A 27,984-nucleotide genomic window follows, 5' to 3' on the forward strand; every position below is an offset into this window, starting at 1 on the left:
AAATTTGAAAAAGTATTAAAACATATATTACTATATTCAGTCAAGACAACTGGTCCATATATTAGGGATAATTTCAATGGCAATGAAAAAGAAACAAACCACCACCCTTTTAAAAAATAAACAAATTGCTAGCTCTAATATCAGTGTTTATTAGTAAATATGATGCTGGAGTTTCCCACTAAGTGGCCTTCTCAGTAAAAATTTCACAAAAGCTATTTTAAATTGTGGAGTGGGAAGTTTTAAAACTTAGAAATATATATTTGTTTCTGTATAAAGAAGAATTGGGGTCCTGTAAAGTAGAAGGTTCAAATTCAAGTTGGCAAGTTAAAGGAGTCATCACAACAAAAACAACTCATTCCCACAGTCCTTTCCACTAAATTTCACAATTCTAACATAATTAGTAAACGCATTAAGTGGATCCTAGGAGAACAGGGGAAAAGCTGTGGCAATCTCTCCATGGTGAGGCTCCCCTGCACCACTATTCATCCTGTCCCTGATAAAATCGAACAGGAGTTCCCAAGGTGTGCCACACACTCAAGTCACCATGGTGAGGCCTGGCCACAGAGAGATTCATTAAAAAGGCTGTAGCTTAATACTATCATGATTTTACAAAGCAATTGATTTCTCGCCTCATTTTTTGAATGATAATCATTAAATACTGCATTCAATATTAGATCATGCCCAGAAGACAGGACTCAGAAGATGCACATCTGTTTGGCCCAGAAAACTTTCAATAAACCCCACTTTTGCTTTAAGTTATTAATTATTAAGTTTGCATAAAAATCTCTAGCATGGGAAGAAACCTGAATATATTTATGGGGCAAATACTTTGTGTGGTGGAAGGAATACTGGGCTAGAAATGATAAAAGTCATGAGACATTGCTGGCTCTGCTTCTTACTAGTCACATGAAACGAAGACAAGTCGTTTCTCTGAAATAGAAAAAATAATGCCTGCCTCCCTGTGGCATAAGTGTATGGCAGGGATTGTTGTAAGTGAAGGTGTCCTGACAATGATAAGACATTACATAATTGCAGGGCAGTGCTGCTACTGCTTTTAGCCTGGCAAGAGAGGGAATAATACGGCAGGTGAGGGGGGGTGACCCGTATCAACTAGAGAAGAGGTAACACTGGAAGATGCCGATCTGGTTGACAAATGTTTCTAATAAAAATGTTCACAGATCAGAAGACTCGCCGAATCTCATTTAACTGTGTTGTTATTATTTCCCCTTTCACCACAGTTTCACAGCCTATATCTTTTTTTTTCCATTTTTGTCCTCTCTTTGCTTTCTGGTTGGTCACAACAGAGGCCAAAGTGAGCCATTAAAGGACCTCTGACAACAGTAAACACAGACACATACAATTGGCCTCAGAGGAAATAAATTTTTTATTTTAAAAAATAAGTATATTTGAATACTAAATTAACCAGTTTACAAATAAAAACATTTCAGAACTGAAAATACCCCAGCCATCATTTGCTATGACATTCCAAGTTCATAATTCTAGTTACCACAAGACAAAATATGGTTCATAAACTCCTAGAAGCAATACAAATGAAACTACATTTGTTATTCTGCAATTGATAATGCAATTTCCTTTATTCAAAAAATCCAAACCCTCATGCACTAAGAAATAACTGACCAAATTACCTGTTAACACCTTATACCATAAACAAGTTTTTAAAACATACCTTTAAAAAAGGCTAAGTTTAAATAAGATGCCCTGACTTTTTACTCCTCCAATACAAATTGCAATTTAGATTAATGGAAACAGAAAATACCTTAATTATTGTTCTAAGATCAAAATATTCTTTGTGTTTAAGAATAGAAAAGTGGAATTTAAGTTTTCATAACACATTTTGTATTTTGTCACCAAGATTTTGTCTCTACTAATTTATATTAATAAAATAATGACCAATCTTTCTTAATTCCTATACACAGGCCAAAAAGCTTAAAGTTTACTTGCAAACAGAAATCTCTTTCACACACATATGCACACACACACACCCTGTTCTTTAGTGCCTGCTAGTGAAAATGGTCTATCATATGACTATGGTACCATCAGCACACAGTGTTTCACAGCCATCACAATGTAGGATTGACATATGACATTTATAAAATGTCAGAACCCCTCCACCAAGTTTTACAGCCTATTCCCCAGTAGGGTTTCACGATGTAAAATGAGCTAAAGGCAACTGTGTGCTCATTAGCTGTGCCACTTCTGATACATTACGTCAATTGACAATGAAACACTGTGATATCAAAGTGCACGTATAAAAAATAATAAGGTGACTGCTTGTGTAACAAAATCTCACTAACTGAGAATATATAATAAATATGCAAGGAGGCAGTTTTTATTCACTGAAAATGTGGCATGGTACATCAAACATAAAACCCAAGAAAGGGTTTTGACATGCCAAACTCAATTAAAATTTGTTTTCATGACTATCATCAGAGACTCAGTAACTTATTTGTGAATGTAAAAGGTGATTATGCAAGTTCCAAATAGAAGGATCTGAAGATATCAGGAGACTCAGATGGTGCCAGAAACAGAGCTAGCATCTAACTCGCAATTACTTTTAATGTTAATAAGTGATAGCGAACTTGTCACAATGAAAATTATAGTACACTTAAAACTTGTTTAGCTACCTCCTACCTATTGAAAGAATATGTACATTATTATCTCTCCATGAACCATCCCCCACCTCTCCAATGGCCCAAGATCTTAATGCTTTAAAAATTCCTAAAGTTTGGTGAAAACAAAATAATGAATAAAACAAAATAGCGATATATATAAAATAACTACATATAAAATAGCTATGGCCACCTGACTGGTTTTTACATATGTCGACTCATATTTAGAGAAAAAAAAGGGGGAATGTGAAATCTAATTTCAGAGTTTATTTTCTAGAAAATTAATTATATCACTAATTCCCAAAATCAATAATATTTTGCATTACATTACTTTATAGAGCTGTCCAGACCAGTAAGTACAACATTATAAGTATAAAATCCTAAACTTGGTACATTGGAAGATGATACATTGGAAAAGATATGCCCTCATCATTTAAAAATTGACAAAATGATTTAGTATAATGAACTCCCTGAGAAAAATCCAGCACCATATTAAAAAGTTGTGTAAGTTCCATTCATACTTTTTTCACACGGGAGAAATGTCACATTAGAACTTTTGATGAATATGAAATACTTTACTTTATAGGATGCTAGGAATCCTGACCAGATAGGTAGGATGACAATTGAATTCTATCACTGTACTAAGCCCTCAGTTAAACTTGGTAAAGTTACTTAGATAAACTATTTTCACCCCAATAATATTTAAGGGATTATTTTGAGGAAAATATAGAGATATTAGAGGGAAATTATCAAAGATATCATTAACAATACTGATTGATAACAATACCGAGCAATACTGATATCAATCCTCAAGTGTGGATGTTGCAGCCCTCATTTCTTTCCGTAATTGTCCATGTGATTAATTGCCTTAATAACAAGTGAAGAGAGAAAAATAGAAAGAACACATGATAGTCATCATTTTCAAATCATTCAAATCATCTATAGAGCTGATTACAAATAGAGATACCCGAACGTCATTACCAGGCATTCTGGAATAGGTACATGATGCGTAGGGCTTAGGTTCATGTATCTATACCCACCTCTACAGGCAATTCTGACAAACACCAACACTTGCTACTCATTCCCTCAAGATTCTGATAAATAATGTAATATGATATCTTGTTACCCATATCTTCTCAGGTGGATTTTTTACAAACTTCTAGATGCTCTACATTCCCTTATTTACCACTGATAGTCTTTAGATCAACTCTTCCTTTTTCATAAAATAAAAGATAGGTGCGGGAGGTTGTGGATTTTGAAAGGAAAGAGAATTATAAAAAGAAAACTTCATTTAAAGTACCGTATTTTTCTAACTACATTGCTTCTTCCCTTGTGCCTGACAGGCTGCAACTATCTACTTTTCCCCTCACTTTAGTTTTGGCTGCCTATAATAGTACCTATGCCCCTGTCACCCTCTGATGTTTCTTCAATTGTTATGGTTTTATAATTCAAATTTCAGAAAAGTTGTTCACCCTGTCACTGTGCTCAAAGCCCAAGACATCAAGGGAATAGTCCTTTCTGTGGAATATAAGGCCCACTGTGACCTGGTTCCAATCTATCTTTCTAGCCTTGATTTCTTCTATTTCAACAAATGATTTGTTCATGGTCTCCAAAATGCGATATGCTTTTTTTTCATCTTTGGCTCCTTGCTCGCATCTTTTGCTCTACACTAACAACTATCCCTGTAAATCTTCACCCATCTAGATGAAGTTTCTTCCTTCAAATTGCAGGTCAAATTCTACTTCTTCCCAGATAAGATGATAACTACTCCACCTCGAAAACAGAGATTGTCTTCCTCTGGATCCCCACAGAATCCTCTGTCATTTGGTACTTATTCCACCATATATTATATTTTCGTTATCTTAAAATTTGTTCTCTTCCAAAGATGGTAATATTGAAGGAAGGAGCATTCCTCCTATCATTTTTAGTTCCTATAGTGCTTTTTGGAAACACACTCTCAGGACTCTGAGGAAATATTTATTGGTTGGTATTATAATGTCACATCTTTAATAAGCTACTAAGAATAAAATTACCACTGGTAGACCAAAAGATCTACAGGATCAAAGAACATGAGTCTTTTTCACTGCAGATAAGCAAGAGTTTAATCATTTGGAATAGAGTGATTGAGGATTTTAAAGAGTTTTTCAATACTAAATCTTTCAGCATCACTGCAACACAGACATATTCAGGTGTTAGTCCTGGGAAAATGAAATGAAATTCTACAAACATTTATCAAGTGTCTCTGCTAAGGGCAAAATACTCTGACCTCTGGTACTGTGGGGGCAGTCACTCCATGACCTCTCAAAACCCAACACCATGCATTATATCCATCACACTTGGAAATTATTTTCTAATCTAAATCAAATTTAAATTAGAATTTAAGCACTTACAGGAGAGAGAATGATTAGATGCAGTTTCATCTCTCAAGGAGCTCTCAATCCAGTATTGGTTTTAAAGATCAAGCAGCCACTCAGTTACTGGGCTTAAAGTAAAGGAAAAATAGTAAAATCCCAGAAGGAAATGGAATTTATCATGATCATATTCAAAGCACAATGGTACATGTATTTATACAGAGAAATGTATACATAAATTCAAGGGACTCTATAAGATTTTCAACAAATGAAGCTCAAAGTTCCCTGCTGAATACAAAGATTACTCATGTTTTAAAATGAGATTGTTGATGATTCATTCAGTCAATAAATAGAGTGAGTATCTGCATTCATTCATTCATTCATTAAAGAAATATATGAGTACTGGCACTGTGCAGTGTCTCCTTCCATTTGGCCTTAGATCTAATCAGGTGCTCAATCTTAAGAGGTCTTTCAGTCATTGCCCCTTTTGGTGGCATGGGATTGAATAAAAAGTCCTTTCCATTCAGGCCGTTTTCCTCCTTCCAGAGGGAGAACTCTTTGCCATAGATCATTCCATTGAAATTGGATTTAAAGGTAACATACAGCAACCACTTACCAAATTTCCAATTGGAAGCTTGAAACTGGCTACTTTAATTCTCAGCCACAATTCAGTGTGCTCTATTTGCTTTTCTTTAGTCATATTCAATTCTCTCTCAATCACTGTCCTGTAGGCTCCTTCATGTATAAACAATGATACTTTGTGTTGTACTAGTGAACTAGCATAGTGCTCTGTAGCAAGTTATTCAATAAATGTGAGTTAAGTTGGTGAAACATTTAATGGAAAACATGGTGCTAAGTATGTTTGTTGTGGTGATGATAGTGTAGGATATAAAGATGCATAAGACATAGTTTTGCCCCCAAAGAATTTTCATTTTAGCCGAGGAGATAAAACACTTTCTCAAATAACTGTAATATAAAGTATGAAGTGATAAGCCACAAAGAAGTGGTACAGAGGAGGTGCTGTGAGAGTTCAGAGGAGGGAGAGATTACTTCCAGCTGTTCAGTGTCCAGTGTTCTGCTCAGGACAGTGAGGATTACAGGAGAAAAGAGACAGAACTTGCTGCAACTGGGTATACAAACTCACTGATGAAAAAGCCAAGCACACAGTTTCTGGTTAAAACCCCAAAAATGCACATGTTAAATCCAAAATGAGTAGCACACTCAGTGCTATGCTGTTCAGGAAAGACAAATTCATGAGTGCAAGAGTGTTTGGGAAAGCCTCTACGGAGGCACTCAGCATTGAGCCTTCAATAACAATCACTCCATTAAAAAGGGGGGTTTCAGGCATAGGATACGACAGTGGCAACATCTCAGAAAGGAAAGTGAGAAAAGAAGATGCTATGCAGTTGCCCCTCTTTGTAAAAATCAGCCATCTGGATCTTGCTGTATGGTTCATCGGTTCCCTCCAATGAGTCCTAAACAGAGAGGGACAAGGAGAGTGCATGAAACCTCACACAGTATAAATAACAGAGAGGGGTTGAGGTGCTCTGTTTGTGGACAGATATCCGTGGATGCCTTTAGGATTCTATTTAGCTGGGGAATCTGGTGGTTTCCCTCTGTTCCCTTGATCTTGTTATCTCATATAAATCTGTTAAAAGCATCTTCCCATATTTTAACTCACTTCTGACATCTAACCTTTGCACCAGATAATTGACATATTATGTTCAGTGTTTATGAAATTGTAAGGATCTTTTTAATTAAAGACTAAAAAGTGCTATAAAAATTGTGAGAAAAAAATTGGCCACATATACTAAGTTAACATGCATCAAGAAAAATTCATGGTATTCCTATTCCATCCTTTGGAAAATAGATAAAAGGTAGCTTTATCTCTATTTCTTGTTATTCTCATTGCCAGTTGGTGATGAGGTACACCTGAAACTTCACATTTTGCTCATTACAGCTCCCAGAGGATAATCCCTCACATTCTCAGAATGTTCTTACTGAAACGGGATCAGGCACTTCTCCTCGATCTATCTTTGGCTCCTATTTTGAATAGCTTCAAGATATAGACTAAATGCTTTTTTCTTCTATTTCATGTTTTGTCATTGAGATATTTACAAAACCAGAGTTCTTAATTAGTTTAATAATTTTATGTTCATATATGACTTACTTATATTTTTTAAAATAGTTTTTGTTCTTAGTAAAATCATGTCATATTTTGTTTTGAATGAATATTAAGACATAAAAGTAATGTGGTGGGAAAACAATAGAACATAATCAACTATTAAGCATACCACAATAAATAATGTGAACATAAAAGGACTACAGAAGTAATTTTATCTACAACAAGTCATAAGTATCAACTAGGGTAAAGCTATCTGCAGGAATGATGTAGTAAAAATATATCTGACAAATTATTGAATAAGCAGTGCATATGAACTCTACTCTAGAATTCTGTTATAACAATTTGAAAGGATTTTCAAAAACCATTATGTATAATATATAATGAAAGTGAAGGCTCCTAAGTTTGTTTTGAAAAGCTTCTTGTCATTTGCTTATTTCATCAGAAAAATCAGACAGCCATAAGATTTTCATAATGGGTTCCTTAATTGCACTTAATACGACTAACTATACACAGAAGACATATAACATCCATGTATTTATACCAAAAGTATCATGAAAACTGTAGTGTGCATTAAAATCATGCAGGGTCTACTTTTGTTTTGTAAAATTGTAGAAAAATTGTAAATAGCAAGGGTGACCTCCAGTGTGCAATAGGTTTATGCCATTGCATTTTTTTTCAGTAACAGAAACTTCATTGGCCTATTCCAATTCTCTAAGAGTATTAAAGATAAGGAGAAAGGGAATTTTCTAGATTAAAATGGGTTTGTCAGTTCAAAGCAATTGCTTTGTTTTGTTTTTGGATTTTTGTTTTTTGGGTTTTTTTTTTGTTGTTGTTGTTCTTTTTGAAGCTTATGGTATTGCTTGGAACCTTAAAACATAAAAGAGCAGGGGGACGAATCTGTGACTAATAAAAGTTAGAAAACTATATTTCTTATATATGGTCTTGTTCAAACCTACATTCATTAAAGCTTTGAAGAATAAGCTGAATTTATATTTTTAAAATGAAAATTCAAAAAGGACATTCTTTAAATGTCTCATACTGCCACGCAAATAGCAAAACTACCTGACATAATTTCTTTACAAAAATACTGACACTTACACCAAATAACAAACTAACACCACCAAAAAATCAAACTTAAAAAGCTTTTTAGAAAGTCTCTAAGATCAAAAGCTTTTCACTGTAGATAAAATTTCTTTTTATGAAAAGCTAATGGCTTGCCACATTGTATAATATAATTTCTATTTGTCTCTAATCTCAACACAATAAAACTATTCACACGAAAAGAAAAAGCATGATGCTCTCCTTACGAGCCAATCCAACATCACTCACTTCATCTTTCACTCTGCAGATAATACAAATCATCTAAAACTACCAGGGAGTTTTTATTTGCAGATTTTGTTTTTATTTCTTTACGTGGTAAATAACCTAAACTTTGGGGGAAATGAAGTTTCTTTTCAAAAGATTTTGTTAGTAAAACCTCAAGTTCTGCCTTAGCTAGCAAGACCACACAAAAGATCTAATTATATGGGTGCCCACCAGAGCTCCAGAGCTCCTGCCTGTCAGAGTCAGTGTCACTCTCTCCATTAGGCACATCTACTTTCAAAGGTCTATGCTGTGGACGTTAAAAATTCGCTCCAGGCTGACTCTTGGCATAAAAGGTATAAGGCTGAGAATGAATTGCTTTTTATGAATATTCATAACAATCAGTGTGGACTTCTCAAGTTCTTACACAGGGAAAAGTATAAATAACTGCATGTGATATAGTTTGTTTATCCAGTTTATAATATACATGGTGTGTGTGTGTGTGTGTGCATAAAATGTTTGTTACTAATAGCATATAATTAATGAATTAATTTAAAATTCACATTGGTGATAATATGTTCTAATTTTAATAAATTATAGCTTATGAAATTCCCAAGTATGAGATAATCTTAGAAACGAGTATTATTCCTTTGGACTTGTTATGATCTCTCATGTCAAGAGTCTGTGCGCTACCTGCTAAGAAATGCCTGAGCAGGCCCTGAAATGATGGACCCTAATGGCTCCAAAGGAGCCATTGTTGTCTATTGTGTCAATATTTTGCGTTCTAAAGATGATCCACAGAAGACTTCTTAAGCACGCTTTTGCATATCAGACAGCAATGATGACTCAATCTATTATGTCAATAATATGGTGTAAAAAAACTCATTCTCTTGAATTCACACAATTACAGTCATCGGCATGTTTTGTCAATGATCTGCTTAGAACATTCTTTGAGCACCCTCAGAAGATAGCATCTTTCAAATTTAACTATATCTTTTCATTCTAAAAATTTGTTTTTCAATGTTATTTTAAATGTGGCAAATTAATACCATAAAAAGGTTTAGAGCAAACATTAAATTCACCGGGTCAAATTATTCTCACAAACTCCTCCTAAATCAAATTAGATTCAAAGGGTCCCCCAAAACATTTTTGATAACTCTGTAAATAAAGAAAATATTCTTTACTTTCTTTCCTGAAGGACACGAATCAAAATTATCAACACAGCTTGTAGATACCACAGGGGCTCAACATTGAAAATACATAAGTATACATTACATTCTACATTTTCTAATCAAAGGAGGAAAAATTAAGGTCTGGTATCAGATTCTATGTTTATTTTCGAAGTTATATAATAAATATAAATTTTGGAACAAATGGCTTGTTAAAATGTATTAGGAGTCTACTTTGAGACATCAATCTTGGAATGTTCATTATATCTTTAAATACTGGTAATTATTAAGTGGTACTTAAGAACACAGAGGGTATCTGTAAAGCAATATGTGAGCAAGAAAAGGTGTGATAATGTATTGAGTTAGAGTCCAATCCAACTGCTTTCAGAGCTACATCTTAAGACTAGGGAGAAGAGAGTAACTTTTACGGCTCGATATGAATAAATTGACTTATCCTAGTTATTTGTTAAAAACCTGTACTGGCAAAATGCCAGCTATCTTCATGCACAAAGTTGAAGATCAAGAATTTTTTTTAAGTAGTGTCAAATGCCATACATTTAAAGCAGGAATTCTAATAAAATGTCTCCTTTTGTAATTTTATACAAATGGATTAAGTATCATCAAGAGTGGATACAGTGTTCTTTTTGTGTATTGATTTTTACGAAATACTTTCTCAGATGTGTCAGACATGCCTAGATTTTTGAATAAGGGAGGTTTCTTTTTTTTTTTTTGTATCTTGGCTCTGTTCTTATAAAGCAATGTTTTGGCAAAGTCGGCAAGTTCCTTAAATGAAGATTATTTTCCCCCCTCCTGGGTATCAGGAGACCATTTTAATTCACTCACCAGCTAAACTCTCAAAGGTACTGGTGTATATGGTAACATAGGAGCCAATATCCTAGCTATCAGTTTTCATACAGCCTAGCTGGACCTTTACCTTACGGCTGCCCCACATTTATTGTTCTTTCATTGCATCTGTCAGCATTTCCTGACAGCGCATTATGGAGCACATGGCTACAAAGTCAGTATCAATCAGTCCACGATCATGCAGATATAAGTAGCAGACTATTGATAATGGGCCTTAAATCAGATCATCATGGTTTAAACATAAGATTCTTAAAAGGCAGCTATCTCAGGGGAACTTCTACTTGCCTGCACCTGTTATAAACCCTGCAAGACAGTTTCTACTACCTACCACCTTCAACTTCTCTGAAGAAAAAAGAAGGATCTATTAAACACACATACACATATGCTGTAACACATTTCACCATGTACAATGAAGCATGAAAGCAAAGGTGGCAATTAATATAACTTTTTGCTCTATTCCTTCAAAAAATGTGCAGAAGCAATATATCTCTCTCCTAACACTAATGAACCCAGACTACCAAGCCCCACATACACCTCACATGGATAACAGCAGTTTTGTTGTGCTTTGGAAATGTCTTACTTCAAAAGCATTTCAACTTGATGTGGCCATTTAACAAGAAAAGTGAGAGAATGCATGGAGTTTAGAGGTATGCTGCACCAAACTCAAGGCACCATGTTAAAAACAAAGGCATCTAATTTTTCCCAGACATAAATAATAAAACAAAACAGGAGTTGCATGCAAATTTAGTAACATAAAATTTAAGGTGATAAACAGAATGGAAGCTGGCTTCTTGTTTAGTATTCCTCAGTTATCACCATAATTGCTGCATGTCTGTCATCACTAGCAAAAGAAAAAAGTGTCTTTCTCAGCTGCTCCCCTGCTTGTTTTGTTCGCTGTATTCTTGTAAAGTGGGAGAAAATAAGTGTCATTTAATGAATAGTGCTATTCTTTGTCTGACAGCTTCATATCTGTTAGGTGTAGGAGGCCTACTACTTTCTTTTTCTGATAATGTTTTTGACAGTGTGCTAAATTCCTCCCCCAAAAGGCCGGCGTGTATATTCTGCTAAAAGGGGCTTCATCTCTCCTGAATGGGTGCCCTCTTTTAACCCCCTTCAGCTTCTGTTCTTACATTAATTGAGCTGATCAGATTGAGCATATGAATTTGTCTTTGATGTATTCGTATGTTTAGTTGACGTTGCTCTCTCTCTCATTGGCAGCGGACAGAGCTCTCAGACAAATAGGACTGTTGCCATGGTAACAGGCAATAGCTAGGGATCTCTTGAAAAATATTTTTATTTCAAAATTCAAACTGGAAAATTCTCACTGGATATGGTTCTCAGTTCTAAACGTGTCATATCTAATGATGAATGCAATTAGGAATCCCACCAGTGTTTTAAATAATAAATTAGCCTAATTTTCTAGGCCTGGCATGATGACATACAAATACTAAAAAGGCGTCTTCTTTTTTAAAATCCATGACAAAGGACTTATTAATGACTTTTGTTCTTAGGATTTCAAATTAAAATGGATGGTAGGCTAATGATAGCGCTTTCTATCTGCTGAAAATCAGAGGCCTAGAGGTAAACTTATTATTTTTTTTAAGAAACCACTTCAAGCTGCTGTAATATTTGGTTATTTCATTTTTTAAAAAGCGGGTGTAGAAATCCTTCTATAAATGTTGAATGCTATAGCAGTTGGTAAATCTCAGTGGATAAAAAATGCCCATAGCCATTTTTAATTACTGAGCATGAGAAAAAGGGATGGATGGTGAGCCTAAGTTTTATAGTCCACTATCATCTTACAATAGCTTTCAAATTCTTAGTATGTTAGTCGAAATACAAGGAAAAAATAAAAATAAGTACTTCATTATGTGACATAAATTGTAGTTATTTTTAAAACTTAATTTATTCATGACTATACAATTCCAGTTATATTAATTATTATTTCCCCCAGTCATACCATGTGGGGCTTAGAGAACAATGAAAATTACTGTACAGTTTGATAGCTTCAAGGATCTGCCATAATGTGTAATCGCATTACAAAGAGGGCTACTAGAAACAAACCAAATTTTTCTATTCCTTAAACTTTGTTTTTAGCATTGTTCAGCTCTTTGTATCTGTTGTTCACGGTGTTATGTGTCAGAATGCAGAACTTAACTTTTTGATATTAACTGGCAAGGGTGCTACTTCCTTTAATTTTGAGTTAAGCCAGTCACAATAATAAAATCAAGCAAATCCATGTGTATTTTGGGTTTGTTTGAAGGAAATGGATCTTACTCAAATTTTAGAATGTCAGCATACAAAATAATGAACAACGAGGTTAAATTAAATCCAAATGGTAATGAGTGTCTGTAGTACACGCCATCTCGTGTTATATATGGCTTTTACATTTATATATTTTTAAAAAGTTTGTGTTTAAAGCAAAAAGATAGAAAAAAAGTTAAACCTAAGACATTAGTAGTTATGAATTTCTATACTTTTACTATTACTTTAAATAAAAATTTTATTACTATGGCCTAAATAAAATATGAGTATTAAAAGTTTTATTCTATATTATACTACTAAACCACCTGAAATATTACTTTTTTCCTCAAAAACTGAAGTATAATATTTTCTATAATACCAAAAAAAAAAACCTTATATGAAACACTGCAGGGGACTAGCAAAGAACATCTTAGCTTCTACTGGTAAGTGAACATGTCTCCCTTTAACTATATTTCCAATCTACTTCATCAAAAATCCACAGTGAAGACAGTAAATCCAAATCTACTTCAGAGTTCACATTGATGGCTGTGGCCTCCTAAAGCTCTCTGGAAGGTGAGGACATACCTAGGAGGTCCAGGCAGGAACCTCACCCCATCTGGCTGTCCTGAGAGTCATATATTAATAGAAACAGTCCACTCTGAATCAGGAGGATGTATCTTCCTCCGTCAGGCTTTAGTTGTTCATCTGAGTTGGGGCAGTATGCTTTTGCATCCTTTCAGAGTGATTAAATGCAATTTTTAAAAGTTTATTTTATTGTTTTTTTAATTACAAAGGTAATTCATACTTACGCACAAAAACCAAAAAATATTGAAAGTGTCCCTTTATCTCCAAAGCTAACCACCCTGTATTAAAAGAACCACCAGCAATTGGTTATACATCCTTTCAGACCTCTAATCAAAACCATTTTTGAAAGTACAGGATTTCATTTACCTTCCACTTTATGACTCCTGATGACAAGTGATATGAGAAAGAGGGAAAGGAAAGCAGGAGTGTCTTTGTTTCTTTTTCCTATGCCTAAACTAGATAGTAAGATATGAGAAAGAACACTCACGTTTCACTTCTCACTTATCAATAGTCACAACCCTCAAGTGGGAAGGGAGTGTGAATCCAGGTGGTTTCCTTCCCACCACTGTAAAAATCATCTAAGTGCCTAGAAGTCACAACCCTCAATATATTCCTGGTCTTCCAAGGTCTGAGCCATTTCCCTGATGGAAATAACTATCCATAAGTGATGTTACATACGACTCACCAGAGTACCATATTACCATGCTGAGTTGGGAAAAGAAAGCCCTGCCTTTCAGTGTTTAAAATATTTTGAAAATACAAAGCATGAAGATGCCAGTTTCTTTTCTTGCTCAGCACTGCACAGATCTACTCCAAACACAGAGAGTCTCATTGACTTTGGCGCTGAAGGCTTAAATCAGCTCCATAAGTGTCCAGCAAGCCAAAATGAAAGCTAAACACACATTGTTACTGAAGCCTATGCTGCATTGCACAACTCCAGGGCTATAACTTAAAGACAATTTACCTCAGAAAATATAAGGCAGCACAGGGCAGTGGCAAGAGACTTAGATTTGGAATCAGAATGACAGGGTCAAACATTTCTCACTAGCACCCAGACCTTAAGTGACCTCCCTGAGTCATAACGTCTTAATCTATGAAACAGGGATCATAATATCAGCCCTCGTCCTACAGTTATTGTGCAGTGAAAATGAGATAAATACGAATGTGCTTTAAAATATATGTAGATTGCATTTAAACCTTATATTGTCTATATTTTTTAAATGAAAATCAAACCTATTGATTTTATAAATTACATTTTCCATAAAAATCTTCAAATTTATATGAATCAAGTGTGGATAACTAATTTAATCTTACAATGCCTCATGTTAAAATATGAAACATTAATTTTTAAAAACATTACTTTTTTATAAAAATGGTTTGCTTTTTATAAAATATTTAACTTAAAAAAACAAATGCCCAATTCTTATATACCATTTTTTTCTGCAGTGGAATATGCTTTTAAATTCATTAATTTAGAAAGTAAAAAGATTAGAGAGAGAATTAGTCAAAGGCAAAAATTAAAGTTCTATAATTCAAAAAGTTAAAATTAATAAAACAATTTAAAAGCAATATAGAATAGTTTATTTCAGTGTAAAATGTCTAGTTTGCACATTTCCGAAAATTTAAATATAGACTCATTAGTAGTTAGTCTATTATAGATTATATATAAGCATTTATAGGTATATGTATGCACATTATATGATAGATATAAAATTAGGCAAGATGGCTATAAATACACAAAACCATTCTTCAATTGTAGTGGATTATTTTCTGAAATTTTATTAGTAAACTGATTATAAGAAATTGAAATACATTTTCTCATACAAATAATATTAATACGATGAAGTAGGATAAGGCTACTTTAGAAAAAAGCCATCTGACTCGTAATTTACTGTAGAAATTAGTAGCCATATATGGAAAATAATTTCCTGTAGAAAATGCACATCTGTCCTTGCTAAAGCCAGACTGGTTCCACCAATTATTGGAGACTAGGAAAGGGGAGGTGGTACAATGGTCTGAGCTCTGAGAGCACAGAGAACAGATGCAAATTTATTTCCTTTTACAGGAAAGAAACAGACTCAACAGATCAGGAAGAGTAAAGGCTAATACTAAATTTGCTATTTTCTGCTACATAGTAAAAGGTCAATAATTATTAGCCAACATAACGTTACATAGAAGAACTAAGCAGGCTGGGATCTGCAGGAAGTTGGAAGAAGTTGAGGAAGTAGGACAGGACCAGGAACGTTGGCATTGTGGCAGCAGCAACAGATAGGAAAAGAGGAGAGCCTGAAGACGGATTTTTTTCTTCATAATACTACCCCTCCTTGTCCCCACAAAGCTTGTCCTGGGTCAGCCCTAAACTAACACCAGGGCAAAGTGAGAAGCACCATGAGAAACCAGTGGGTAAGGAAGATATATTTCTGTAGATGATAGCACCAGGCTTGATATTGATGAGAGATAAAGGGAAAGGAAATAAGTCCAAGTGTGGTGACTGACAAGGATAGGGATGTCTGAAGCCAGGGGCTGGCTGTAAACATTTGTGTTTGAAGTGACAAGTGACTCAAAGGAGACAAATAGTGTCCCTTGATCACTCCCTCTCTCCCTGAGAGCCTCACTTGGCTCTCAGAACACCATATTCTGCTAGTTTTTCTCCTACTCCAGTGACCATTCTCAGTCTCCTAACTGGATCCTCCTCCTTCCAACTTCTAAATGTTGGAGTGCCCTAGGCCCCCAGATCTCAATCCAAGATGATTTTAGTCAAGTCCATCATGGCTTATAAATACCATCTGTATGCTGATTACAGCCCACTAATTCCAACCTCAATCTCTCCTGAGTCCCATATTACTATGTCCATCTCCTACTCTTCCTAGATGTCTTAAAGCCCTATCAAACGTAGTATCTCCAAAAGAGAATTCTTGATTTTTCCCCAAAACTTGATTCTCTCCCAGGTTTCCTCATCTCAATAATCATATGCTCATTCATATAGTTGCTCAGGCCTGGGAGACATCCTTGATTTGTTTCTTTCATATCTCACAATCTATCAGCAATCTTTTGAGTTCTATTTTTCATATTGTTTAACTCAGGATCTTCAAAATAGATGCCAAAGTCCAATTACTTTTTACTATCCCCATCAACCTAATTCCAACTTTTCTATTTCCACTCTTTCTACCTTTAGAGTCTATGCTTCTTATAGCAGTCAGACAGTATTTTTAAAGTATAAGTCAGATTGCATTCCTTCAACTCCAACACCTTCCAAAGACTTGCTATCATACAAAATCAGCCTACCATTCAATCTAGTCTCTGGTTACCTCTCTGACCTCCTCTCCTTTGTCTCTCCCCCTACTCATTTAGCTCCAGTCCTAAGGGTCTTCTTGTTCTTCCTGGACTATGTGAAGCTTGTTTCTGTCTCTGAACAGAATAGCATATGCTGTTCCCTATGCATGATGTGCTTGTCCCCAGAAATTTCCATGGCTTGATCCCTTGGATCACACAAATATTTTCTTACAGATGTCTTCCCTGGTTTTCCCACTTTCAAAAGCACCTACCCTATATCTGTATGGGCTTTACTTCATAGCTTTTATTACTACCTGACATTATGTTACTTTTTATTGATACATAATATTTGTACATATTTATGGGGTACATGTGATATTTTGTTACATGCATAGAATATGTAATGATCAAGTTAGGATGTTTAGGGTATCCATTACCTCTTGTATTTATCATTGCTATGTGTTAGGAACATTTCAAGTCCTCTCTTCTAGCTATTTTGAAACATATGATACATTGTTATTAACTATTGTCACCCTACTCTACCTTCGAACACTAGAACTTAAATACTAAGTGTATGTTTGTACCCATTGACCAACCTGTCTTCATCCACCCCCCTCACCACCACCCCACACCCCTGCACTTCCCACACCCTTCCCAGCTTCTGGTATGTTATTCTACTCTACGCCTCCTTGACATCAACATTATGTTACATATTTATTCACTGGTTTATTGTCTGCTCTCCATAGAATGTAAACTTCATGAAAGTAAGGATTTTATCCAACTTGCTGTCTATCTACCCCTCTACAGCCTAAAATGGTTGTGATCCAAACTAGGTACTCAGTGTATGTATGTTAATTGCTCATTCAGACACTCCAAATCTTTCATGATTTACAATAGAAAAATATTGGTTACTCATATTGACACACATAAATCATGTTTTACAAAAGAAAAATGTTATGTTACATGGACTTTAATCCTTCTTTCAGAATATACTTTGCACAATTTTTTTGGAATAATTTTCTCAACCAGCCTGATTCTTCAAAAGCAGTTAAGACTTTTAAAAGTAAGTACTTTCTAGAATTATGCTACAGGAGAAGGGAAAATGAAAAGGCTGACAAATTCTTTACTCTTATATTTTTAAAATGTGTTCTGAGATTTAAGAAGTAGTTATGTAACTTTTCCTAGTGAGATTTTGTTAAATATTTTACTATTTGACAGTTTGTGTCACAGTTTTTCACGCTGTATCTGGAGTTATGAATGAAACTATAAATGGCCTACTACTATGATCTAAAGTAAAAATGCCAAGGGTAAGGAGTTCATTTATTTTAATGGGTTAAATACCCCAAGGTCATTGGCTACCTTTTGCACAAATACTAAAGCCCTTTGAGAGCTACAAAATTGAGTATTTGATTTTATTTACTTGTCATGTACTCAAAGTGAGTAGCTAACAATAAAATTATCTTTAAATATATAAATACCACTACTAAAATAACTGATATCTATAAAGTGATTACTTTGGGCCAGCTATTATTTGAAGTTTTTTATTTGATAAACCATCTAATCCTTGAAACAACCTTACAAAGTAACTCCATTTTACATATAAGAAAAGTGAGGCACTGAAAGGTAGGCTGTTCAAAATCACACAGCTAGAAGATGGTAGAGCTGAGATATGAGTCTAAGTAAAGCATGTAAACTTAACCACTGTGAAATTATATCATTTGCAGCTTGTTCCATGATTCTGCTAGCAAAATGTACATTAGTTAGTAAAACACAGTTTTCATATGCAACAGATTATCATTGATGGGAAGTTTTTCCTCATACTGTACATTGAGGGCAGCAAATCACCCTTTTGTTCTGAAAATGTTGGTCATGGTAAACAGTTTATTAACACATTGCACATCTTCTAGTTTTCTTCCATTCTTTAAAGGTACATTGGTTAAAATCATATTTAACAGAAAATACATTTTAATTAGTGATACTGAAGGTATAGAATTCCTAGAAGAGCAAGACTTTATCATAGAAAATTAAATTACAAATTATTGTGACATAAAATTTTATTTTAAATGTATTCCCTACTCTGAATTCCAAACAAAAGGCATCATACTTTATAAACATTATCTTAAATTGGTTTTTACACAACTTTAATACATTAAAGGCCACACAAAAATTTCAAGAGGCAAGTTAATGATGAATCATGTGTTTTTAGGGTCCTTAAAACTAAATGTTTGTTAGCATTTTATCTGATAGCCAACAACTTTTTGAGGTCATTCTCATTGTAAAGTAGAAACCAAAGAAATTAAAAAATTATTTGGACTTTAAAACTCTTTTTAGCACAGAATAATACAGATGTACTAAGCCACATTAGGCATTGATTTCTTATCCATATACTTTTTAGCAGCTTAAATTTCTGTGCCATGGATATGTTTGTCTTTTTAGGTAAATAACCTAAAAATCAGGGTTTTTTAGGTAAATAACCTAAAAAGACAAATAAATAATAGTTTGCAATAGGGCAAAGGGTCCCCAGACTAAATCAAGGTTACTCATACGTAATCTAACTGCCAAATAGGGCCAACATCCGTTAAACATATAAGCTAATACTTTTTAAAATCACTATAAACATCCTATATGTTAGATTGTTCAACACTCTGCATTCTACAGGCATGCCTTGCACTCCAGCTGTAGCAGTAAAATTACTGAAACTGTAATTCTCTTAATATTTAAATAATATATTAAAATTTAATTTTCAGCACCTGGAAGAATCTGTTTGTGTGCCAGCAAATGAGGTAGCTGGGCCTGGAGCTCCTATACATATGGGACTCAAAAACAACCTATCACAAATAATTACTAAGCTAGAGCAGCTGTAGTCACCACTGTAATAATTTAAAAATCAGGTCAAAGTTGCTAGAATTCTTTTCCATTTTCAAGATACCTTGCACATAAATTCTGTGATGCTTATCCTTTTCTATTTTCCATATTTTATAAATTATTCATTTTTATTGATAATCATAGATTGAGGTGGAAAGGACAGCAAGGGCATTCTGTGAACTTTTTTTTTTTTAAGTTGGTGATGTTAAAAGAAATTAAGCTCCTGATTTCTTGGGTTTTTTAAATGGCTTACGTGAATGTGCCAATGCAAAGGCATATGTATTTGTTACATCTGTTTATGGTAGGGATTACATACTCTGTGAATAAACAAAACTAAGGCCTATTTACTGCTCGATGGATATGGCTTTCGAACACACGTTGTGTGCGTATAATATATGAGTCTAAATAGAGATACACTCACACACATCATTAACAAAATACTCTTTAATGTATCCTCTATGTATTTTTATTTTGTCAAATCATGATGCCATCTGGTTCATGTACAAAAGAAAAATACAAAAATTATAAGTTTTTCATTTATTAAATTTGAACAAATTGCTGAGGGATGAGGCTAGTGAAGATTCAAAAACATTTTGTATATTTTCACATCTATGAAAATAAAACATTTTGAAAGGATGTCTGATACAGAGACAATTCCTAAGTTCACAACCCTATCTGGAACTGGTTACGTGTTATGTCTCTCCAATCTCTCAGCATTCCTTATCTACTTACTGAGAAACAAAAATTCAAGAGAGCAACGGACATTTGGGATTTTTTTTTCATCACTTTAGTGAGATTTACATGCTTTTCCCAAAAGCTCCAGACCAAAAAAAAAAAAAAATTAATTTGAAAAGTGTATTCAGTAAAAGAATGGCAATGGCAAGACACTCCGTTTAAACAGAAACTTTAATTGCTTTGAGTTAATTTTAGATTTCCAATCCGATTCTTGTATATGAAAAAACATCTAAATATCTGTTTTTAGAAAGTGTCTAATGGCATCCTACACCTGATATTTAGAAAGAAAATAAGATATTTTGTTGGAGGGAAAGATGGAGATTAGGGGATAGGGAAAAAAATGTACCAAGAATTTATACCCTATTACCTTCAATCATTTTGATGCAAGTCATTCATACCACCACCATGCTAACAAGACATCCAATTTACTAAACAATGAATACTGAAAATACATTTAAAAGGTACAAATGACTGTCCAAAGAATGACACTGAAAAATATTAAGTAACAGCTCTACCTCAAGATAAGCCTCACCATTAAAGAGTTTTAATGAAGAGAGCCTTCAAAGGCTAAATCAGGAGGCATTGATTAGATTGCCTCCAACTTTGTGTTTTGACACCTTCGTCTTTCGTGGCATTATATTGTCTCTGTGCATCTTACAAAGGAAGCATTTTACTAGGCCCACACAAGAACAGGAGACAGCAATGCTTATAAAAGAGACTGTCAAGGGTGTGAGCCAAAATGGGTCTCATTTGGATTTCAAGTGAAGAAAACTCCTAATGCATTTCATTACAATGTATGCGAACCTCTGAAAAGAAGGATGGATTGGGATTCTCATCCCTATTAATTTATTGAAATGGATTCAGTTTTTTCTTGTATATCAAGAGAGACCATGTGTTTTAAGCAAGGTAACAATATTATAGTTCCAATAACCAAATATGCTATGATTCCGTATGCCCTTCTGTGAGATAAAGAGGATGCAATTTTCTTGATAATTGGGATTTGAGTTTAAAAATAAATCCTACAATAGCATGGCAACAAATAAATATTCTTTGTTACTACCAGTTTTAAAGATATGATCAAGCTGCTACACAACAGAGGAATTGATTCAGTCTTTGTTACCACAGCAGATTTTTTTACCATTTTAAATCCTGTTTTCCCCTTACTACAGTCATTCATATATTGACTTTTTATTTCATTGAGAAATTATGTACATGATGTAATCAGGATAACACCAATGAAAGTCAAATTTTTTAAAAGATAATGAAAAGAAAATGAGACAAGGTCACAGCATTTTAAGCACCATATTATAGTCTACCTATATACCTTTATTCATAAGAATCTTCTAGTAAAAGGCATCTATTAGGTAATTCATCATTTAAAAAGGGTACCTATTAGGTAATTTCTGGTTTAAAAAGAAAGCACTTATATTTGGCCGATTCTCCAAATTCATTAAAATGATACCTGCCACTAAAAAAAATTCTGAACCCTAACTACAGAGAAATGCCATGATCTAATGCTCTTAGACATCCCAAATAATTTCATAAATCCACAGGATTACAAATATAAGACATATGCTCTCATTGCTCTTTAACACCATTAACATTTAGAGATGATTGATTATGTTATATGAAAACATTCAGTGAATTCAAAGCTGATCTATTTTTTATGTAAATCATACAACCTGCTAGTCAAATTAAAGGTTAAATATACATAAAGTCTTAGAATAAAATACAGATAATCTTTCACATAGAACATGGACCTATGGTATACTCAAATGTAATAGGACCATGGATTCATACATTGCCTACTAATTAAATCCAGAAAAACAGCAGGAGTATGCCCTCCTTATGTTATTATACATTTAATTCCAAGTGGGAATAATATAGCCACAGCTAAGTAGAATTTAAAATTATGGCTAGAAAACACAATTGAAAATAAATGTACATTTGCAAACTTGAAAAGAACTCTCTATAAAGAAATTCATATTCATCATTTAAATTTTCCCATGGATGTGACTATAAAATAGATGCAGAAATAATACACATAAATCAAATATTCAGCATGTGCACATACATGTTGATGTATGTATCAACACATACATTCCTTAAGCAATAGAAAATATATAAAAATTCTAACAGCAAATCTCAATTAACTTTAGTATATGATTACTTTTATAAGAAAGTTTATACAGTTCCCTGTAATACATACAATAGAGGAATTTTTGATGAATTGTAATTAAATTAGAATGATGCATGCTTCTTATTTTTATCTTGACAGTTCTTGCATTCTCAAGCAGAGAATTACATACAGATATACAGCAGGTTACTTGTTGAATAATGTATTTCAAGTACTTAAAATTACGGAGGGAGTTGCTGAAGATCTACATGTGAATACATATTTTGGCCCTAATTTTCATTACTGCATTTCTTCAACTGAAGGTATTTTATAATATACTTACAAAGCAGTTAATATCAGAGTTTTTTTTCAGAACATAACAAAGGTAATAATACTACCTTTATGGTATAAACTTTATGACATTATGAATAAAAATGACAAGTATAAAATTTGATCCATAAAATAAGTGATATATTAATTCACCTTTTTAAAGATATTATGTGTTGCTCCATTTTTTTGACAAGGCTTCCATTCATACTAGAGACATGTTGAAAAACACTATATTTTCTCTCAATAAGGAAAATCACTTTACCCACTATCATGCTTGTTCTGTCTCAATAAAAAATCAATCATCAAATGCTTGCTTCCAAGTTTTACTTGTTAAACTGCCAATTTATGCATACAGTTTGGCTCGGCAGAAATTCACTCAGCAGCATTTCTTTCATTATTATAATTTTGTACATCTCATAAAATGCTTTAAACTTAGGAGGTAGGGGGAGTTACGAAAGTTTATAAGTGCTTCTACGAAGCATTTAATGTGATAGCTAAAGTATAGTGGTAAGATGTAGTTCCAAACCATCATTTTTAAAGAAAAAGAAAAACTATATCGTTTCTGTGGTTTTTCAAAGTAATAAAGGCCTGATTGATCTCACTGACTAAGGCAATTGAATCGGTTGTCTAAATGGTAGTAACATCAATGTCAGATATGTGGTTATCTTTTCATCTTGGCCCATTCTTGAATGTAAAAATCAGATGTTTGAAGGACATTTCACTGACCTGTTATGGCCTCTGTAACTCTCAGACACAATACTGGTATTCCTTATGTAAGTGCCACATTTTGGATAAAACCCGCTTCATCAATGATGCCTTTGCGACATCTGGCGGTCCTTAGGATATAAAAATTACTTTTTGTTTTTCCAAATCTATCGGTACTTGAAATTCCAGTCCAAAAGGCTTTGATACCCCCTAGCGGGGGCACAAAAGCACTCTGGCCTGTAAACTAGGATGTGGACTACCATGAATCCATATGGTGCAAAAGGTCACAAATCTTGAGATGTGGTGACATCATGACAATAAGACACTTTCTAGACAGAAGCTGACCCATTTTGAATATAAAAAGGACCCTGATCACATGTTCCCACACATTTAAAACTATAGAGAAAAAAGAATTATGCTAAGTGGTCTATATAGAAGCTGAACGCTGGTGTTTGAGGGTACCTATAGTTCTCACACTTAAGGAATACTACATGGGGATTTACAGCAAGATTGCTTTAAATGATCTAAGAGCTCTGATTTTTTATGTTATAAGTTGATGCTCAGCAAATGTTAATAAGGGGTGAGAGGTGGCTGAATGGCAGGGTGCATGTTTCTATGTACTCTTCAGTTCCTTTTTAAATTATTAATCCAGCCATACTGAAGCTTGTTCTACATGCTTCCACCTTTATTTACATTTCCAGGAAAGCATAGAACATGAATACTACTTTATGAAGAAAAAAAAAAAACTGTCCTTTAGATTTTATTCTTATTCTATAGGCAATTCAGTATGAGGAAGGGGAAATAAAAACTCATTTCTATCTCTTCATCACCGTCTCTACAGGTATATTTGTTATCCACAATGAGAAATCGTGACTTTGCTGATTTTTTTGTTCAGTCCAAGAAAATTACATGTGCTATACAGTTATCTCTCATTTATACCAAGTCCCGGTAAAGTGGCACACTTGACAACAATAAAATCAAATTCAAATGTACTGTGTTGGTTCCCTGTTTTCAACCTTCTTTTCAAATATTTGCCTGAAAACCTATATTATTTTGGGTATAAACTAATACTTTCAAGAGGGTTTTTGGAGTAAAGAACTCATGTTTTTGGCTGGGTGCGGTGGCTCATGCCTGTAATCCCAACACTTTGGGAGGCTGAGGTGGGCAGATCATGAGGTCAAGAGATCAAGACCATCCTGGCCAACAAGGTGAAACCCCGTCTCTACTAAGAATACAAAAATTAGCTGGGCGTGGTGGTGCGGGCCTGTAGTCCCAGCTACTCAGGAGGCTGAGGCAGGAGAATTGCTTGAACCTGGGAGGCAGGGGTTGCAGTGAGCCAAGACTGCACCACTGCACTCCAGCCTGGTGACAGAGCTAGACTCCGTCTCAAAAAAAAAGAACTCATGTTTTCTAAATCTTACTTTTATAATCAATATTTAATATGTATGTCATCTCTGATTTTTTTCAAGTCATCAATAGTTTATAGGCAGTCATTGTAATAGATAATAGAGTCACCTCTTCTGACACAGTAACAAAATTTGTTGTATTAAGCATATATTACTGCACTGCATTTAAAGGCATTTTTATGTTTCATAATTGAATCAATTTATTATCATATATACAGAACATAAAAATTAATCTTGCAGAAATGGTTACTAATTTATGTGTAATTATAAAAATGTTATGTAAGAAAGTTCTTAGGTGTCTTCCATTAGTTACATACTGCTCTTATGGTGGCAATAAATTCCTTTGATAGTATTTATAGGCTAAAATTGTAAATATAGATCTTTTAAAATGATTCCATTTTCTCACCTTTAACAATACAGGATCTTATAGAACAATAAAGTGAATAGAGATTGATATTGCATTCTCTTGTCACTGTTTAAAAGGAGATTGATTAAATGAGAACATAGCGTGATATAAAAAAATCAGCATGTACTACTTTTAAAAAGAAATAACAGGAATAAAGTCATATGATCAATTTTTACTATATTATTTACTAATGTTTTGAACTACAATAGATCGATAATAAAATACCCATTATAATAAGATATACTGAGGAAAATAATGGCATTTAGTCAAATACCATTCTCCTTTGCTTGAAATGCACTTTGTATAATAAATGTTACAATGAGAGCTAGAAAAAAAAAACTGCAGATGTTCCTTTGCAATAATTACAAGACTTAAATCTTTTCAAATGTTAAAGGAATAATTTTGATGAAGAATAATAACAAATATAAGTCCTCCTGTTTAAAATTAGTTATTAAACTAAAAGTATGTTTCAAATATGACTACACATGTAGATATAAAGAAATAAAGTCACATTTCTAAAGTAAATTTTATTGTTTTGTTAGGTGTGTCTTTTAGAAACAGATTTCTAGGTGGTTATGGGGAAATACTATGCAACTTCCTGAGACCACACCAAGAATTGTCAAAATATATCTTATCCTCAACTCTAAACCCAAAGAAATGGAAATTTTGCCACATTACCTCAGTATTTATTAAAGTTATTTTGTTTTCTGAAGGTCATGTTGGGAGCAACAAAAAGAAGCACAGACATAGAAGGTTTTTTTTAATTGAGAAAATAAGATAGAAACAAACTAAAGATAAAAGATATAAGATATGGAAAGCACTGAAAGCGATCCAACATAAGCATAATTGGTGTCCCTAAAGAAAAGAACTGAGCAAATGAAATGGGAAAAATATCCAAAGACATAATTTAAGAAAACTTTCCAGAAAAAATGTGAGACTTGAATATACAGATTGAAAGGACATAGCATTTCCTTGGGAAAATTAACACAGAATGATAAAAGCAAAACCTATGCTGGTGAGATAACTGATCTTCAAAGTAGAAATAATTCTTTGGCCTTTCTGGTAAAAATATCAAGTTATATATGTATATGAATGTAGTATATTTTGAAATGTAGAGTTCTGGTTTGGGAGAAAATGGAGTAAGTCTACTGTAGTTGATTTCTCACATTGATAGAACTAAGAACACTAGACAAAATAAAAAACAAAACAAAATTACTTAAGGACTGTGAAAAGTAAATAATACGCAAATTAGGAAGGGAAATCAAGACGTGAATAAAGACTCACCTGGTGGCAGTGAGTTCCTTAATTTTTTCCCTCCCCCCCTTTTTTTATTTTGCCCTACAGTATGTTGAATCAGAAACTCTATAGCAGGTATATTATCTTACATAAAATAAGCCAGCACACAAAGACAAATATCCTATGTTCTCACTTATATGTGGGAGCTAAAAAATTTGATCACACAGAGGTAAAGAGTAGAAAGATAGATAACAGATACTGGGTGAGTTCTGCAGACAGAGTAAGATGAAGAGACCCTGTTTAAAGGGTACAAACATACAGTAAGATGGAATAAATTTAATGTTTGATAGCAAAGTAGGGTGACTATACTCAACAAAAATGTAGTGTATTTGGGTGATGGACACCCTCAGTATCCTGATTTGATCACCATGCATCTATATATGTAACAAAATTTCTCCTACCCAATAAAGCACAATGTGGTAGTACTAAAAGGTGAAATGGACATAGAATAATGAAAGACACAAAACCAGCAAGGACATAGAAGAGGTGAAAAATATTAACCAACATGACCTAACTCATATTTATAGAACAGGTCTCCCAGTGATAGCAGAAAACATTCATTTCAAGTGCACATATAACATAGACCATATTCTGGGCCGTATAACAAAATGTAACATATTTAGTTGAGCTGAAATCATACAAAATATGTAACCTGATCAAAACGGAATTGAAGTAGAAATCAATAACAAGGATATCTGGAAAATTGTCACAATGTACTCAAATATTAAAAATGTAAATAACCCATGGCTCACAAAGGAAGTCTCAAGGGCAGTTAAAAATATTTTTAGTTAAATAAAAATGAAAAACAACATATCAAAATTTGTGAGATGCCATTAAAGCAGTGCAGGGAAATTTATAACATTAAATGCTTGAAGTTGAAAAGAGAAAAGATCTCAAACCAATCATCTAAGATTATGATATAAGAAATTAGAAAAAAGCACAGCAAAATAAATAATGAAAAGAATAGAAACCAATAAAACTAAAAACAAAATAGAGAAAAATCAATGAAATCAAAAGTCAGTTCTTTAAAAGGGTTGCTTAAATTGATCAACCTTTTCAGACTTTCTTCCCTTCCCCTCAAAAGAGAGAGAGAAGACACAACTTACTACTATCAGAAATGAAATGAGGGGCCAAGCACTGTAGGTCACACCTGTAATCCCAGCACTTTGGGAGGCTGAGGCAGACAAATCACCTGAGCTCAGGAGTTCAAGAACACCCTGGCCAACATTGTGAAACCCCATCTCTACTAGAAATACAAAAATAATTAGCCAGACGTGGTGGTGGGCTCCTGTAATCCTAGCTACTCAGGATGGTGAGGCAGGAGAATCGCTGGAACCTGGGAGGCAGAAGTTGCAGTCCAAGATCATGCCACTGCATTCCAGTCTGGGCAAAAGAGTGAGACTCTGTCTCAAAAAAAAAAAGAAAGAAAGAGAGAGAGAGAGAAAGAAAGAAGAAGAGAAGAAAGGAAGGAAGGAAGGAAAGAGAAAGAAAGAAAAGAAAGAAAACAAGGAAAAGGAGGGATATCACTATAGACTCTAGAAGCATTAAAGGGATAATAAAGGACTACTCCTTTTCATGAAGA

At 33.9% G+C, this 27,984-nt stretch overlaps 1 protein-coding gene across 15 annotated transcripts in view; it reads right to left on the reverse strand.

The window, feature by feature from the left end:
• KIAA0825 overlaps positions 1-27,984 on the reverse strand; it is a 467,754-nt gene that overhangs the window by 152,472 nt on the left and 287,298 nt on the right. For 7 of the 15 annotated variants that reach the window (XM_011543329.3, XM_011543324.3, XM_011543328.4 and 4 more), the window contains one exon: positions 1,366-6,456. The exons of 4 other annotated variants lie outside the window; for them this stretch is intronic. In XM_011543329.3, the coding sequence (XP_011541631.1) occupies positions 6,156-6,456 (301 nt within the window). In that variant the 3' untranslated portion in view covers positions 1,366-6,155. Of the gene's footprint in view, positions 1-1,365; positions 6,457-27,984 lie in introns of those variants that run through there. 4 more of the 15 variants (NR_169751.1, XR_948246.3, XM_011543330.3 and 1 more) reach the window with 4 other exon arrangements.

The sequence above is a fragment of the Homo sapiens genome, chromosome 5 (genome assembly GCF_000001405.40).
Source record: "Homo sapiens chromosome 5, GRCh38.p14 Primary Assembly".
Classification (NCBI taxonomy): domain Eukaryota; kingdom Metazoa; phylum Chordata; class Mammalia; order Primates; family Hominidae; genus Homo; species Homo sapiens.